General features: G+C 55.2%; 1 protein-coding gene across 6 annotated transcripts in view; it reads left to right on the top strand.

The window, feature by feature from the left end:
- TLE2 (TLE family member 2, transcriptional corepressor) overlaps positions 1–12879 on the top strand; it is a 49992-nt gene that overhangs the window by 12808 nt on the left and 24305 nt on the right. For 4 of the 6 annotated variants that reach the window (NM_003260.5, XM_011528230.2, XM_006722864.3 and 1 more), the window contains exons 1-5: positions 5548–5947; positions 6025–6122; positions 6446–6509; positions 6955–6999; positions 9746–9808. In NM_003260.5, the coding sequence (NP_003251.2) occupies positions 5924–5947; positions 6025–6122; positions 6446–6509; positions 6955–6999; positions 9746–9808 (294 nt within the window). In that variant the 5' untranslated portion in view covers positions 5548–5923. Of the gene's footprint in view, positions 1–5205; positions 5279–5547; positions 5948–6024; positions 6123–6445; positions 6510–6954; positions 7000–9745; positions 9809–12879 lie in introns of those variants that run through there. The other 2 variants (NM_001144762.2, NM_001144761.2) reach the window with 2 other exon arrangements.

The following is a 12879-nucleotide window of genomic DNA, read 5'->3' as shown; positions in this document are numbered from 1 at the left end:
CTCCCTGGAAGGCCTAGGGCTGGATCTTCTCTAGGAATCCAGCCTCTTGCAGCATGTGGAGGTGTTCGTAGACTAAACATCCATTTATCCACCAACACCAAGCAGTTTATATCCAGTGTGTGTATGTGTGTGTGTGTGTGTACGCGCGTATGGAGAAGACAGGAGGCGAAGAAGACAGGAGGCTGGGGGAGAAGGCTTTTGCAGGAGACAGTTTTTGGGTTGGGCCTTGAAAAAAATGGACTTTCTCCAGGCATAAAAGGAGGGGGAGGGAATTCCAGGAAGAGATAACAAGCAGGGAAAGGCTCAGAGGTGGGAAAGAAAGGACACAAATTAGGTGATCTGGCCAGGGTGGCTGGAGGGGGTTGGGGGTGTGGTGTGATCTGGTGGAGGAAGGTGAAGCTGGCTGGGGCAGGGTTGCAGAGGTTCCAGTGCTAGGGTGAAGAGCTGGAAATTTATCCCTAGGGCAATAGGGAGCCAGGGGAGGGTTTGAGGGAAGGAGGGCCAGGCTCCAATTGAAGATCACCAAAAACAAAGGCTGCTCAGAGGGAGGAGGTGGCTGTGGTCCAGATGGGAGAGAGGACAAAGGCCTGGTCAGGGTGGGGGCTGCTGGGGTGGGGAGAACGGAGGAGGGTTGCAGGCCAGGTGTTGGGAATAGAGGGCTAGGGTGATGCTCTGGTTTAGAGTATCTGGGGGATGTGTGTGGGAACCCTGATAGGAGCAGGGGGTAAGAGTCTGAGATCTGGGGGACCTCTAGGGGAGATGCCCAGTTGGTGGCTGGACCCACAGGGCTGGGTCTCAGAGTAGGAACCGGAGGTGGTGCCAGAGCTTGCAGCCATCCTCACGAGGCGGTCACTGAAGCCTGGAGGGAGAGGCGGTGTCTCAGAGCCCTGGAAGCCAGAGGTGTGAGTCAAGTTGACATTCAAGTGACCGGGCTAAGGAAGGACAGAGACCTACGTTTGTTATTTTACTTTTTGTAGAGATGGGGGGTGGGGGTTGGGTCTCGCTATGTTGCCCAGGCTGGTCTCAAACTCCTGGCCTCTTTGGCCTCCCAAAGTGCTGGGATTACAAGTTTGAGCCACCACACCTGTGCTTAGAGAGGGAAGAGGGCCGCCCGGACAGGAGAGCCCCGCAGAGGGAGGTGAGGCTGCTCTGAGCAAGCATTGTAATGGAGGTCAAGAAGGAGCCATTGGGTTTCCAGAGCCAGGGGCTTAGGCAGAAGAAGGAAGATCTGGAGGGGCGCGGTGGCTCACACCTGTAATCCTAGCACTTGGGAGGCTGAAGCAGGCAGATCGCCTGCCAGGAGATCAAGACCAGCCTGGCCAACATGGTGAAACCATGTCTCTACTAAAAATACAAAAATTAGCCGGGTGCGGTGGCTCACGCCTGTAATCCCAGCACTTTGGGAGGCTGAGGCGGGCGGATCACGAGGTCAGGAGATTGAGACCATCCTGACTAACATGGTGAAACCCTGTCTTTACTAAAAATACAAAAAATTAGCTGGGCGTGGTGGTGGGCGCCTGTAGTCCCAGCTACTTGGGAGGCTGAGGCAGGAGAATGGTGTGAACCTGGGAGGCAGAGCTTGCAGTGAGCTGAGATGGCACCACTGCACTCCAGCCTGGGCGACAGAGTGAGACTCCATTAAAAAAAAAAATTAGCCAGGCTTGGTGTATGTCTGTAATCCCAGCTGCTCGAGAAGCTGAGGCAGGAGAATCACTTGAACCTGGGAGGCGGAGGTTGCAGTGAGCCGAGATCTGTAATCCCAGCTACTTGAGAGGCTGAGGCAAGAGAATCGCTTGAAACTGGGAGGCGGAGGTTGCAGTGAGCCGAGATCGTGCCACTGCACTCCAGCCTGGACGACAGAGCATGACTCCGTCAAAAAAAAAAAACAACCAACAAGAAGGAAGATGTGGGGTGGACAGTTGCAGACAATGAGGACAGAGGCTACCATGTATGCTCAAGGTCCAGGCAGGGGAGATGTTGGCCTCCCAGGAGCAGTGAAACACCTGCCGGAAAGGGTTTGGAATCAGCACTTCACAGACCCCCAAGAACCTGGAATCACGGACTCTTGACAGCGTAGAATGATGGCGCTCCCTGTTTGTGAGAATTTCCAAGCAGGGAGTGTGGCCGGCGGTTTCTGGCTTTAGGCTGGTTATTGAGCACTTACTGTGTGCCAGGCCCCGCAGAGACCTAGACAGGCTCAGTCCCTCCACAGCCTTCTTCGTGGTGAGGGAGACAAACAAGGACGCGAACAACCTCCGAGTAAACATACTCACATCCAAAACACACTGTGGGCTGGGCACGGTGGCTCAAGCCTGTAATCGCAGCACTTTGGGAGGCCAAGGAGGGTGGATCATCTGAGGTCAGGAGTTTGCGACCAGCCTGGCCAACATAGCGAAAGCCGGTCTCTACTAAAAACATAAAAATTAGCCAGGCGTGGTGGTGGGCACCTGTAATCCCAGCTATTCGGGAGGCTGAGGCAGGAGAATCACCTGAGCCCAGAAGGCAGAGGTTGCAGCAGTGAGCCGAGATCACGCCACTGCACTCCAGCGACAGAATGAGACTCCGTCTCAAAACAAACAAAAACAAAAAAACCGAAGGCCAGGCATGGTAGCTCACGCCTGTAATCCCAGCACTTTGAGAGGCCGAGGCAGGTGGATCACCTGAGGTCAGGAATTCAAGACCAGCCCGGCCAACATGGTGAATCCGTCTCTACTAATAATACAAAAAAAATTAGCTGGGCATGGCGGCGGGAGCCTGTAATACCAGCTACTCCAGAGGCCGAGGCAGGAGAATCGCTTGAACCCGGGAGGCATAGGTTGCAGCAGTGAGCCGAGATCGCGCCACTGCACTCCAGCCTGGGCAGCAGAGCAAGACTCCGTCTCAAAAAACAAAAACAAAAACAAACAAAAAGCCACACACTATGGTAGGAGCTGGGAAGAGAGGGAGAATAGGATGGAGAGTGTGAAAATAACGGGGTGGGCAGAAGCTGTTGAAATGGGTGGCTAGGAGGGGCCGTTCTGAGGAGGTAGCTTTTGAGCTGAGACTTGAATGATAAGAAGCAAGGGAAAAGCATTCCAGGTACAGGGAACAGAAAGTGCAATGGCCCTGAGGCTGGACTGTGCCTGGTGTGAGGCCAGTGTGACTTGGGCAGAGTGAGTGAGGGCGAAAATGACCGGAGTTGAGATCATGAAGCTGGCTGGCCGGGTGCAGTGGCTCATGCCTGTAATCTCAGTGCTTTGGGAGGCCGAGGTGGGAGGATCGATTGAGCCCAGGAATGCAAGACCAGCCTGGGCAACACAGTGAGACCTTGTCTCTATAAACAATAAACAAAACATAAAGAGATGGTGAAGGGGAAAAGGGGAAGAGTTTTGTGAAGAGCCTTGTGGGAAGAGAGATGAGTTTGGATTTATTTTGAGGGCAATAGGGAGCTAGTGAGTACTACACACACACACACACACACACACACACACACACACACACACACAATTGTATCTTTATCCCAGGCTGTGTCTCTTTTCCTCCCTTCCCAGAGCTGCCCAACCTCATCGTTCAGGTCTCATCTCCAAGGCTACCCTCCCCCAAGGGTCCTCTCCCAGACACCCCACATAAGCAGGTTTGCTTTTGTTCATCTCTATCACTGCCCTCTAAACTCTTCCTCTGTCTGTACAAATAGTCCCATAATTACCAAGCTGTGAACCTGCCTAGCCTGTCACTCACATCCCACAAACTCAGAGAGGGCAGGGATCTGTCTCCCTTATCCACCCTTACAATCCCTGTGCCTGGAAGGATGCCTGACACGTCATAGGTGCTCTGTAAATATCTGTGGGCTGGAAAACGATGGCTTTAAATTTGATAAGGGCTTTTTTTTTTTTTTTTTGAGACAAGGTCCTGCTCTGTCACCCAGGCTGGAGTGCAGTGATGTGATCTCAACTCAGTGCAGCCTTGACCTTCTGGGGCTCAGGTATCTCCCGCCTCAGCCCCCCAAGTAGCCGGGACCACAGGTGTGCATCACCATGCCTGGCTAATTATTTTTGTATTTTTTGTAGAGATACAAAAAACACAAAAATGTTTTTTTGTATTGTCGCGGTGTTGTCCACACTGGTCTTGAACTCCTGGGCTCAAGCGATCCTCCCTCCTCAGCTTCCCAAAGTGCTGGAGCTACAGGCATGACCCACCACCCCTGGCCCATTGATAAGGGCTCTTGTGCCCTTTTGTAAGGGTACAAAATGGGTTTTTGTAACCCTAACCCTTAGGTACCATTAGGTACTCGATCACCTAAGGACACAAGTCCAAGTGTCATCAAGGGGCATGGATTTTTCTCTGTTTTGTTCCCAGCTGTGCCCCAGTGTCTACAGCAGTGTGTGGTCCACAGTATGCATTTAGTACACGTTTGTTGATTGACTTCACAAACCTCTCCTGAGGTTTCTCCAAAGAGAATAAGAACTTCCCACTCCCCGGGTGGGCCTGAAGGATGCTGGCTGGATGTCTGTGGTCTCTGGTCGGGGCTGGAGCCTTTGCCGTGGGAGAGACTTGAGTCTGATGGCAGAGCTGTGGTTCTTCCAGTTCTGAGTGGGACACGGCTCCTGCCTTCAAGAAACCCAGTCTGAGAGGGGAGACAGCCCAGTCCACTGGTGATGGCAGTAGGAACACAATTCCCATCTGTGGAAGTTTGCTCTGTGTAGGGAGAGGCTGACAGCGTTCATGCACTATCTCATTTAAGTGCAGTGCCCAGTGCGGTGGCTCCCGCCCGTAATCCCAGCACTTTGGAAGGCCGAAGAGAGAGGCTTGAGTCCAGGAGTTCAAGACCAGCCTGGGCAACATAGTGAGACGCCCCCCTACTCCATCTCTGCAAAAAATTAAAAAATTAGCTGGGCGTGGTGGTGCACACCTGTAGTCCCAGCTACTGGAGAAGCTGAGGGGGAAGGATCGCTTGAGCCCAGGAGTTCGAGGCTGCAGTGAGCCATGATTGCCCCACTGTACTCCAGCCTGGGCAACACAGGGAGACCCTATCTCTGCAAAAAATTAAACCCTAAAGATAGCGCACCACCCCTGACCTTTTGCAGAGACTACTGAGGCCCCCAGAGGGCGAGGGCCCGGCATGATCTGGGAAGCAGTGTTTGCTGTGAGATTCCCTTTCTGGCAGGGTTCCCTGCCAGCGCTTGGCAAGGCTGCGTCCTGCTGACCCTTCAATCTCAACCCAATGTCACTTGCTCAGAAAAGCCATTTCCGACTCCAGACTGGTCCCCGCTCCCCGCAAGCCCCCCCCCCCGCTCCCACGGTGGGTAACACGGTGTGAATTTCTTCACTGGTTTTTCTTCTCCCGCCCCTCCGGGAGGGGGTGGGGACCCTGTTTTAAGGCACTGGGCGCCTCCCCACCCGGCCTCAGTTTCCCCAACGGCCCAGGGACTGAAGGAAGGGGGCGGGTGCCCGGGGGCCGGGGGGGGCGCGGGCGCGGGGAGGGGCGGTGCGCGGGGGTGGGCGCGGGGCGGGCCGCGGGCGCGTGGGGGCGGCGGCGCCACCTTAAGGCGGCTCAGCCCGCGGCTCCCGGCCGAGCCCCGCCGGAGGGAGGCGGCTCCGCGCGGGGCCCGCCGCCCGCGCCGCCGCCACCGAAACCCGGCCGCGGCGCGCCCGACCTTCTGCGCCGGCTGCCGCGGCCGCCCTCGCCGCGCTCCCGCCCCGGCCGCTGCCCCTGCCCGCCCCGCTCGCCCCGCGCACCCCAACCCGGGGAGGGGCTCCCACGACCCCGGGCGCGCGCGCTTGGGGGCGCGCCAGGGACTCCAGGGTCCCTTGCCCCGCGCCGCTTCTCCCTCCTCCCTCTTTCTTCGGGCAGCCTCCCCACCACCCCACTTCAGCCTCCCCCACTCTTGCCGCCTCCATATCATCAAGCTCTGGTGGCGCCTGGGGGGCTTTTCGGATCGGCAGGATGTACCCCCAGGGAAGGCACCCGGTGAGTGCGGACTGCGGGGAGGGGGCCCCCAGTGTCCGGGAACTCAGACCCTGACGTTTCCCCCACACCCCCCCCAGACCCCGCTCCAGTCCGGCCAGCCCTTCAAGTTCTCGATCTTGGAGATCTGCGACCGCATCAAAGAAGAATTCCAGTTTCTTCAGGCTCAATACCACAGGTGAGGGGGGCCGCCCCAGGGGCCGCGGGAGTTCACCTGGGCGCCGGGGCGGGGCGAGGCCTCCGGGGTATAGGGCGGGGAGGAGGGGCTCCCGGTTGGAGGGGGGGCGCGACAAAGGCCTCCAGGTGGAAGCGCAGGTGCAGAGGGGTCTGGGGACAGTCAGAGCTGGGGCATTTGGAGCCCAGGAAGGGGCGGGGAGGGACTGGGACAGGAGGTGGGGGGAGGTCTGTAAGGAAGTCGGGAGGGGGAGATCCAGCCTCTCACTTTGGAAGCCGGCCCACATGGGGCGGGTGGGAGCCCCTTGCCCTCTCTCTTCTTCTCAGCCTCAAGCTAGAATGTGAGAAGCTGGCCAGCGAGAAGACGGAAATGCAGCGACATTATGTCATGGTGAGGGCACTTATGATGCCAGGGTGAGGGGAGAGGCGGGCAGGGCTTTGAGTCACGGTGGACTCTGGGGTAGGTCCCTGCCCCACTCCGAACCTCGTCTTCCCCGTCTGTACATTGGGCAGGTTGGGATTTCAGGCTCTCTAGGAGGGTCCTCCCAGCTCTGGGAATGGGGAGACAGGGAGGACCCCTCGCCTGATGGGAGTCTCTGTCGGGCCAGGGCCTCTGGACACTTCCTACCTGCCCTGCCTCTCTGGGGAGAGTAGAGGGGGCCCTTCCAGGCAGAGCCCCCGCTTCCTCCTCTGGGACCCCGTGGAGCTGGGGGGGGCTCTGCTTCCTGCTGTGATTCCCCTGAACCTGGGGACTCTTGGAAGACCCTGGCATCACCTATCTGGAGGAGGGCACCCATCTCCACCCTAGACGTTCTTACTTGGTTTTTCCTTTGCAGTATTATGAGATGTCGTACGGGCTCAACATTGAAATGCATAAGCAGGTAACTGGGTTGGGGTTACGCGTGTTCAGGAGGGAGGGTGGGGGTCTGGAAGCCCTGAGAAGGACCCAGAGTGGGCAGCCGGGGCCAGAGCAGACCTAGGGAACACGGGTCTCATCCTGAAATCTCCGCAGAGGTCACAGAGGGCCCATCTGGGACCAGGAAGACAGATTTCAGCCTCGTGGAAGGAAAATGAGTCCCACCTTCTGAAGACAGTATCTAGCAGTTGGAGCGTCCAGCAGAGATGCAGGCAGTGGGCAGGGGCCACCAGGCATCCCCATCAAGGAGGGCACATAGCAGAGGCAGGGCAGCCAGGCCAGGGAGGCTGTGGAAGTGACTTCTGTCCTAGGAGGGAGCTGGATGGCCACTCTTAGAGGTCCCTTTCAACCCAGAAAGTCTGAAGTTTTGAGATGGACCCCAGGTTCTGTTGCTGCTTTGAAGCTTCTGAGATTGGTCTCAGTGTGATTGGCTGGAAGGTTCCAAGATTGTTCTCCAGGCCCTGAATTTGATGCCATGGTTCAGACTGTGACCCCACTACTCCAAAATAGACCTCAAAACTCTGTGGCTGTCTTCAGGGCTTTGAGATTGACTCCAGTGTCGTAAGGCTCTGAGCCTCTTCTGGAGCTTCTCAGTGTGATCCAAGGTTCTGAGACAGACTTCAGGGTTCTGAAATAGACCTCAGGGTTCTGAGATTGACCTCAAGGTTCAGAGATAGACCTCAGGGTTCTGAGATTGACCTCAGTGTTCTGAGATAGACCTCACGGTTCTGAGATTGACCTCAGTTTTCTGAGATAGACCTCAAGGTTCTGAGATAGACCTCAGGGCTCTGAGATTGACCTCAGGGTTCTGAGATAGACCTCAAATTTCTGAAATTGACCTCAGGGTTCTGAGATAGACCTCAAGGTCCTGAGATAGACCTCAGGGTTCAGAGATAGACCTCAAGGGTCAGAGATAGACCTCAGAGTTCTGAGATAGACCTCAAGGTTCTGAGATAGACCTCAGGGTTCAGAGATAGACCTCAAGGGTCAGAGATAAACCTCAGGGTTCTGAGATTGTCCTATCTGTGTACTGAGATGTGTTAAAAGGTTCTGAGGTGTTCCTGAACTTGTGATCTCAAGGTTCAGAGATAGACCTCAGGGTTCTGAGATAGACATCAGGGTTCAGAGATAGACCTCAGGGTTCTGAGATAGACAGGGTTCAGAGATAGACCTCAGGGTTCTGAGATTGACCTCAGGGTTCAGAGATAGACCTCAGGGTTCTGCGATTATCATATCTATGTGCTGAGATGTGTTAAAAGGTTCTGAGGCTATTCCCGAACTTCTGATCTCAAGGTTCTGAGATAGACCTAAAGATTTTTTTTTTTTTTTTTTTTTTTTAAATTTTGAGACAAAGTTTCACTCTTGTTGCCCAGGCTGGAGTGCAATGACCTGATCTTGGCTCACTGCAACCTCTGCCTCCTGAGTGCAAGCGCCTCTCCTGCCTCAGCCTCCCGAGGAGCTGGGATTACAGGCGCCTGCTACCATGCCTGGCTAATATTTTGTATTTTTAGTAGAGACGGGGTTTCTCCATGTTGGCCAGGCTGGTCTTGAACTCCTGACCTCAGGTGATCCACCTGCCTCGGCCTCCCAAAGTGCTGGGATTACAGGAGTGAGCCACCTTGCCCGGCCAATAGACCCAAAGATTCTAAAATTGACTTTAGTGGTCCATGCTTAATCCTGAGATCCTGAGACTGGCCAGTGGTTTCTAAAGGGATGAGAGGGGTCCCAAACTTCTGAGCTTCATGGGCTCCTAGATTCTATCAGAATATTAGAATCAATGAGCAGAACCTTGTATTGGGACTTCCCGGTGGCTGGGAAGGAGAAGGGGGTGGGCTGGGAGTGTGGGGTGCCTGGGGTTGCCCACCCTGGCATGCTTTCCTGCATGTGTGGGGGTTCTGTTGGTTCTGATGTGGGCAGGAGGGGGCTTGTCTGCTGAAGCATGGCGTGGTCCCATGGGTCCACGCAATAGACCCCCCTTTATGGGGTGCGGGACACCCTGGGATCCCAGTTCCACCCTCCTGGTGGGAATAGGAGACACAGACTTCGCCAGACACACAGCACACCTGTAACTCAGGCAGAGGCAAAGTCCGTGGCCATTGTATGCCCGCCCCCTTCCCCACCCACACGCCTTCTCGTCTGCTCAGCCTCTTTGGGGCACCTGGGCCCAGACCCTCTCCAGATGAAATCCTTCCCTTGAGTGTGGCGTGCTGAGATCTCCACCTGGAGGCATCCCCAGCTGGTAGATCAGTCCTGGGAAGCGGAGGAGACCAAGAAAGGGGCCTTGCCTGGGACAGACGTGGGCCAAGCCGGGGCTGGAATCTGGGACTCCAGGCGGAGGCCCCTTTCCTTTGTTTCAGCTGAGCCCAGCACCTCTGAGTGTCTGCGTCTGAGTTGGGTGTCTGAGCGTCTGCCTCCTGCAAATCCCTGGCGGGTGTGCGTCTGGCGGGTGGTGTATCTGTGACTCGTAGGACCTCAGCCCTGGTCTTCCCAGCTCCAGGCCACCCTGGGCCTCGCTCAGCTGAGCACGCAGCCTGGTGGGGCTCTGAATCCCACCTCGGCCCATGCCATGCTAGCCTGAGTTCCCTCTGTGCACCTGCGGGCGTCACCTCCCCAACCCTTCGGCTTTGCCAACACCTGGTCCGCCTGGGAGTCCAGAGCTGGGTTGCAAATCTCTACCCCGCTCCAAGCTTCCTCTCATTGCTTCCTGCCAGGCGGAGATTGTGAAGCGTCTGAGCGGTATCTGCGCTCAGATTATCCCCTTCCTGACCCAGGAGGTGAGTGGGCCTGGGGGTGGGGGGAGGAGGGGAAGGGAGCCGGAAGAAGACGGGAGGGGGTAGGTCTGGGCGAGGACGCCCCAGGCACTGATTCTGCCGCGTAGCCTGCAGCACGGATAGAGACCATTTTCACTGCAGTAGTCCCGCAGCCCTGAGGCCAGGCATCCCGCTGGGGCAGGGGCTGCAGGGATGGAGGGAGGTGTTGGCTGAGGGTGAGGACTGGGGGCTGTTTTCCCCCTTGATGGGAAGCAAGGCATAGAGCTGACCCCCTCAAGCCCTGCAAGTTGGCTGCCTGGGTCTGAATCCTGGCTGTGTGGCCTCAGGCAGGACACTTGTCTCTGTTTTTTCAGTAGCGTAGGTGTGAAGTTGAGATGAGCTCATACACCCAGGGTGCTGGAGATGATGGGTACGCTTACTCAGCACCTGATGAAAGTTAACCCTACCGTCTTGCTAGAAGAAGTCACTGAGGGACAAACACTGGGTGATCCACTCCTAGGAGGTCCCAGGGTCGTCAGGTTCACTGAGACAGAAAGCAGAATGGGGGGTGCCAGGGGTTGGGGAGGGGACGGGGAGTGAGAGTTTTATGGGGACAGAAATTCAGTTTGGGAAGATGGGAAAATTCTGGAGATGGTGCTGGGGATGGCTGCACAACCGTGTGTGTGCTTTATGCTGCTGAGCTGTGCACTTACAAATGGTTAAAATGGACTGTAATTCGGCCAGGTGCGGTGGCTCCTGCCTGTAATCCCAGCATTTTGGGAGGCTGAGGCAGGTGGATCACCAGAGGTCAGGAGTTCGAGACCAGCCTGTCCAACATGGTGAAACCCTGTCTCTGCTAAAACTTAAAAAAAAAAATTAGCCGGGCATGGTGGTGTTTGCCTGTAATCCCAGCTACTCGGGAGGCTGAGGCAGGAGAATAGAATTGCTTGAACTCAGGAGGCGGGGGTTGCAGTGAGCAGAGATTGCGCCGCTGCACTCCAGCCTGGGTGAGAGAGTTAGACTCCATCTCAAAAAAAAAAAAAAAAAAAGTTAGCTCTTCTGAGAGTGCCCCAGGTTCCTTTCATCCTCAGTACCTTTGCACAGTCCCTGTTTCTTTTTTCTTTTTCTTTTCTTTTGTGTGTGTGTGTGTGTGTGATGGATTCTTGCTCTGTTACCCAGGCTGGAGTGCAGTGGCATGATCTTGGCTGACTGCAACCTCCACCTCCTGGGTGCAAGCGATTCTCATGCCTCAGCCTCCTGAGTAGCTGGGATTACAGGCGTGCACCACCACGCCCGGCTAATTTTTGTATTTTTAGTAGAGACGGGTCTCCCTATGTTGCCCGGGCTGGTCTCGAACCCCCGGACTCAAGCAATCCGCCCGTGTCAGGCTCCGAGTGTTGGGTTTACAGGTGTGAGCCACTGTACCCAGCCTGCACTGTCCCTGTTTCTGTGTGGTACGTTCTCTCTTCAGAGAGACGTGAAAGATAGTTCTACTTCAGAGTGGATACACTGGGAGGATCCTTGATGCCTTGAGGACCAAACCCAGAGGGGAGATGCTCAGTTTGTTCAGATTCCACTGAGTCTGAGATTTCTGGAAGCTTGGGGTGGGGAGAGGTCCTGTGTAGACACAGAACATAAAGAGCATCTGCAGCGGAAAGTGGGGACGAGGTGGTCTAGAGAAAGGCAAGAGCCGCAAGAAGTTTAGGTAGGCCGAGCCCAGTGGCTCACGCCTGTAATCCCAGCACTTTGGGAGGCCAAGGCGTGCGGGTCATGAGGTCAGGAGTTTGAGACCCACCTGGCCAGTATGGTGAAACCTCATTTCTACTAAAAATACAAAAATTAGCTGGGCTAGTCCCAGCTACTCGGGAGGCTGAGGCAGGAGAATTGCTTGAACCCGGGGGGTGGAGGTTGCAGTGAGCCGAGTTCGCACCATTGCACTCCAGCCTGGGCAACACAGCGAGATTCTGTCTCAAAAAAAAAAAAAAAAGATTAGGTAAAATGACTGTTGAAAGGAATGAGTAAGGCACACATTTCCAGGAATTAGCAAACTGCAGCTCGAGGGCCAGCTCCACCCCTCCACTTGTTTTTGCAAATAAAGTTTTATTGACATAGCCACGCCCACTCATGTACATATCATTTCCAGCAGCTTTCCCATTACAGTGACAGAGTTTGGTAGTTGCAACAGAGACCTCTGGCCTGCAGAGGGAAAATGTTTTCACTCTCTGGCCCTTTCTAGAAAGTCTTCCAACCCATCCTACACACACCCACACACAGGTGCACCCCCATGGGAGCTCTGTATCCGCATCCTGATACCTCCTTGGTGGAGACAGCCCAGATGTCTGTCTTCAGGAGCGTGTATACACAAGCAGCCTCAGAGTGCATACAGTGGAATATACTACTGTTCCGCTATCCTACACGGCAGTCACCAGCCCCGTGTGATCATTTACACTTAGGTTAACTATTAATAATATTTAAATCTATTATTTTTTTCCTTAAAAAAATTTTTTTTTTTTTTGAGACAGAGTCTTGCTCTGTCGCCCGGGCTGGAGTGCAATGGCACGATCTCAGCTCACTGCAATCTCTGCCTCCTGGGTTCAAGCGATTCTTCCACCTCAGCCTCCCGAGTAGTTGGGATTACAGGCACCCACCATCATGCCGGCTAGTTTTTGTATTTTTGTAGATGGGGTGGGGGGGTGGTTTCACCATGTTGGCCAGGCTGGTCTTGAACTACTGACCTCAGGTGATCCATCTGGCTCGGCCTCCCAAAATGCTGGGATTACACGCGTGAGCCACCGCACCTGGCCTAAAAAAATTTTTTTTTACAAAAATTAGCTGGGTGTGGTGGCAGGTGCCTGTAATCCCAGCTACTCGGGAGGCTGAGGCAGGAGAATTGCTTGAACCTGGGAGGCGGAGGTTAGCGTGAACCGAGATCACGCCACTGCATTCCAGCCTGTGCGACAGAGTGAGACTCCGGCTTAAATAAGTATATATGTATAATGTAACAGAGAGGGAGTCTCACCATGTTGCCCAGGCTGGTCTCAAACTCCTGGACTAGCGTAATCCTCCCACTCCAGCATCCTAAAGTACTGGGATTA

Source organism: Homo sapiens, chromosome 19, assembly GCF_000001405.40.
Source record: "Homo sapiens chromosome 19, GRCh38.p14 Primary Assembly".
Taxonomy (NCBI): domain Eukaryota; kingdom Metazoa; phylum Chordata; class Mammalia; order Primates; family Hominidae; genus Homo; species Homo sapiens.
Note: the sequence above shows the minus strand (reverse complement) of the source record. Positions and strands in the feature narration are given on the sequence as shown.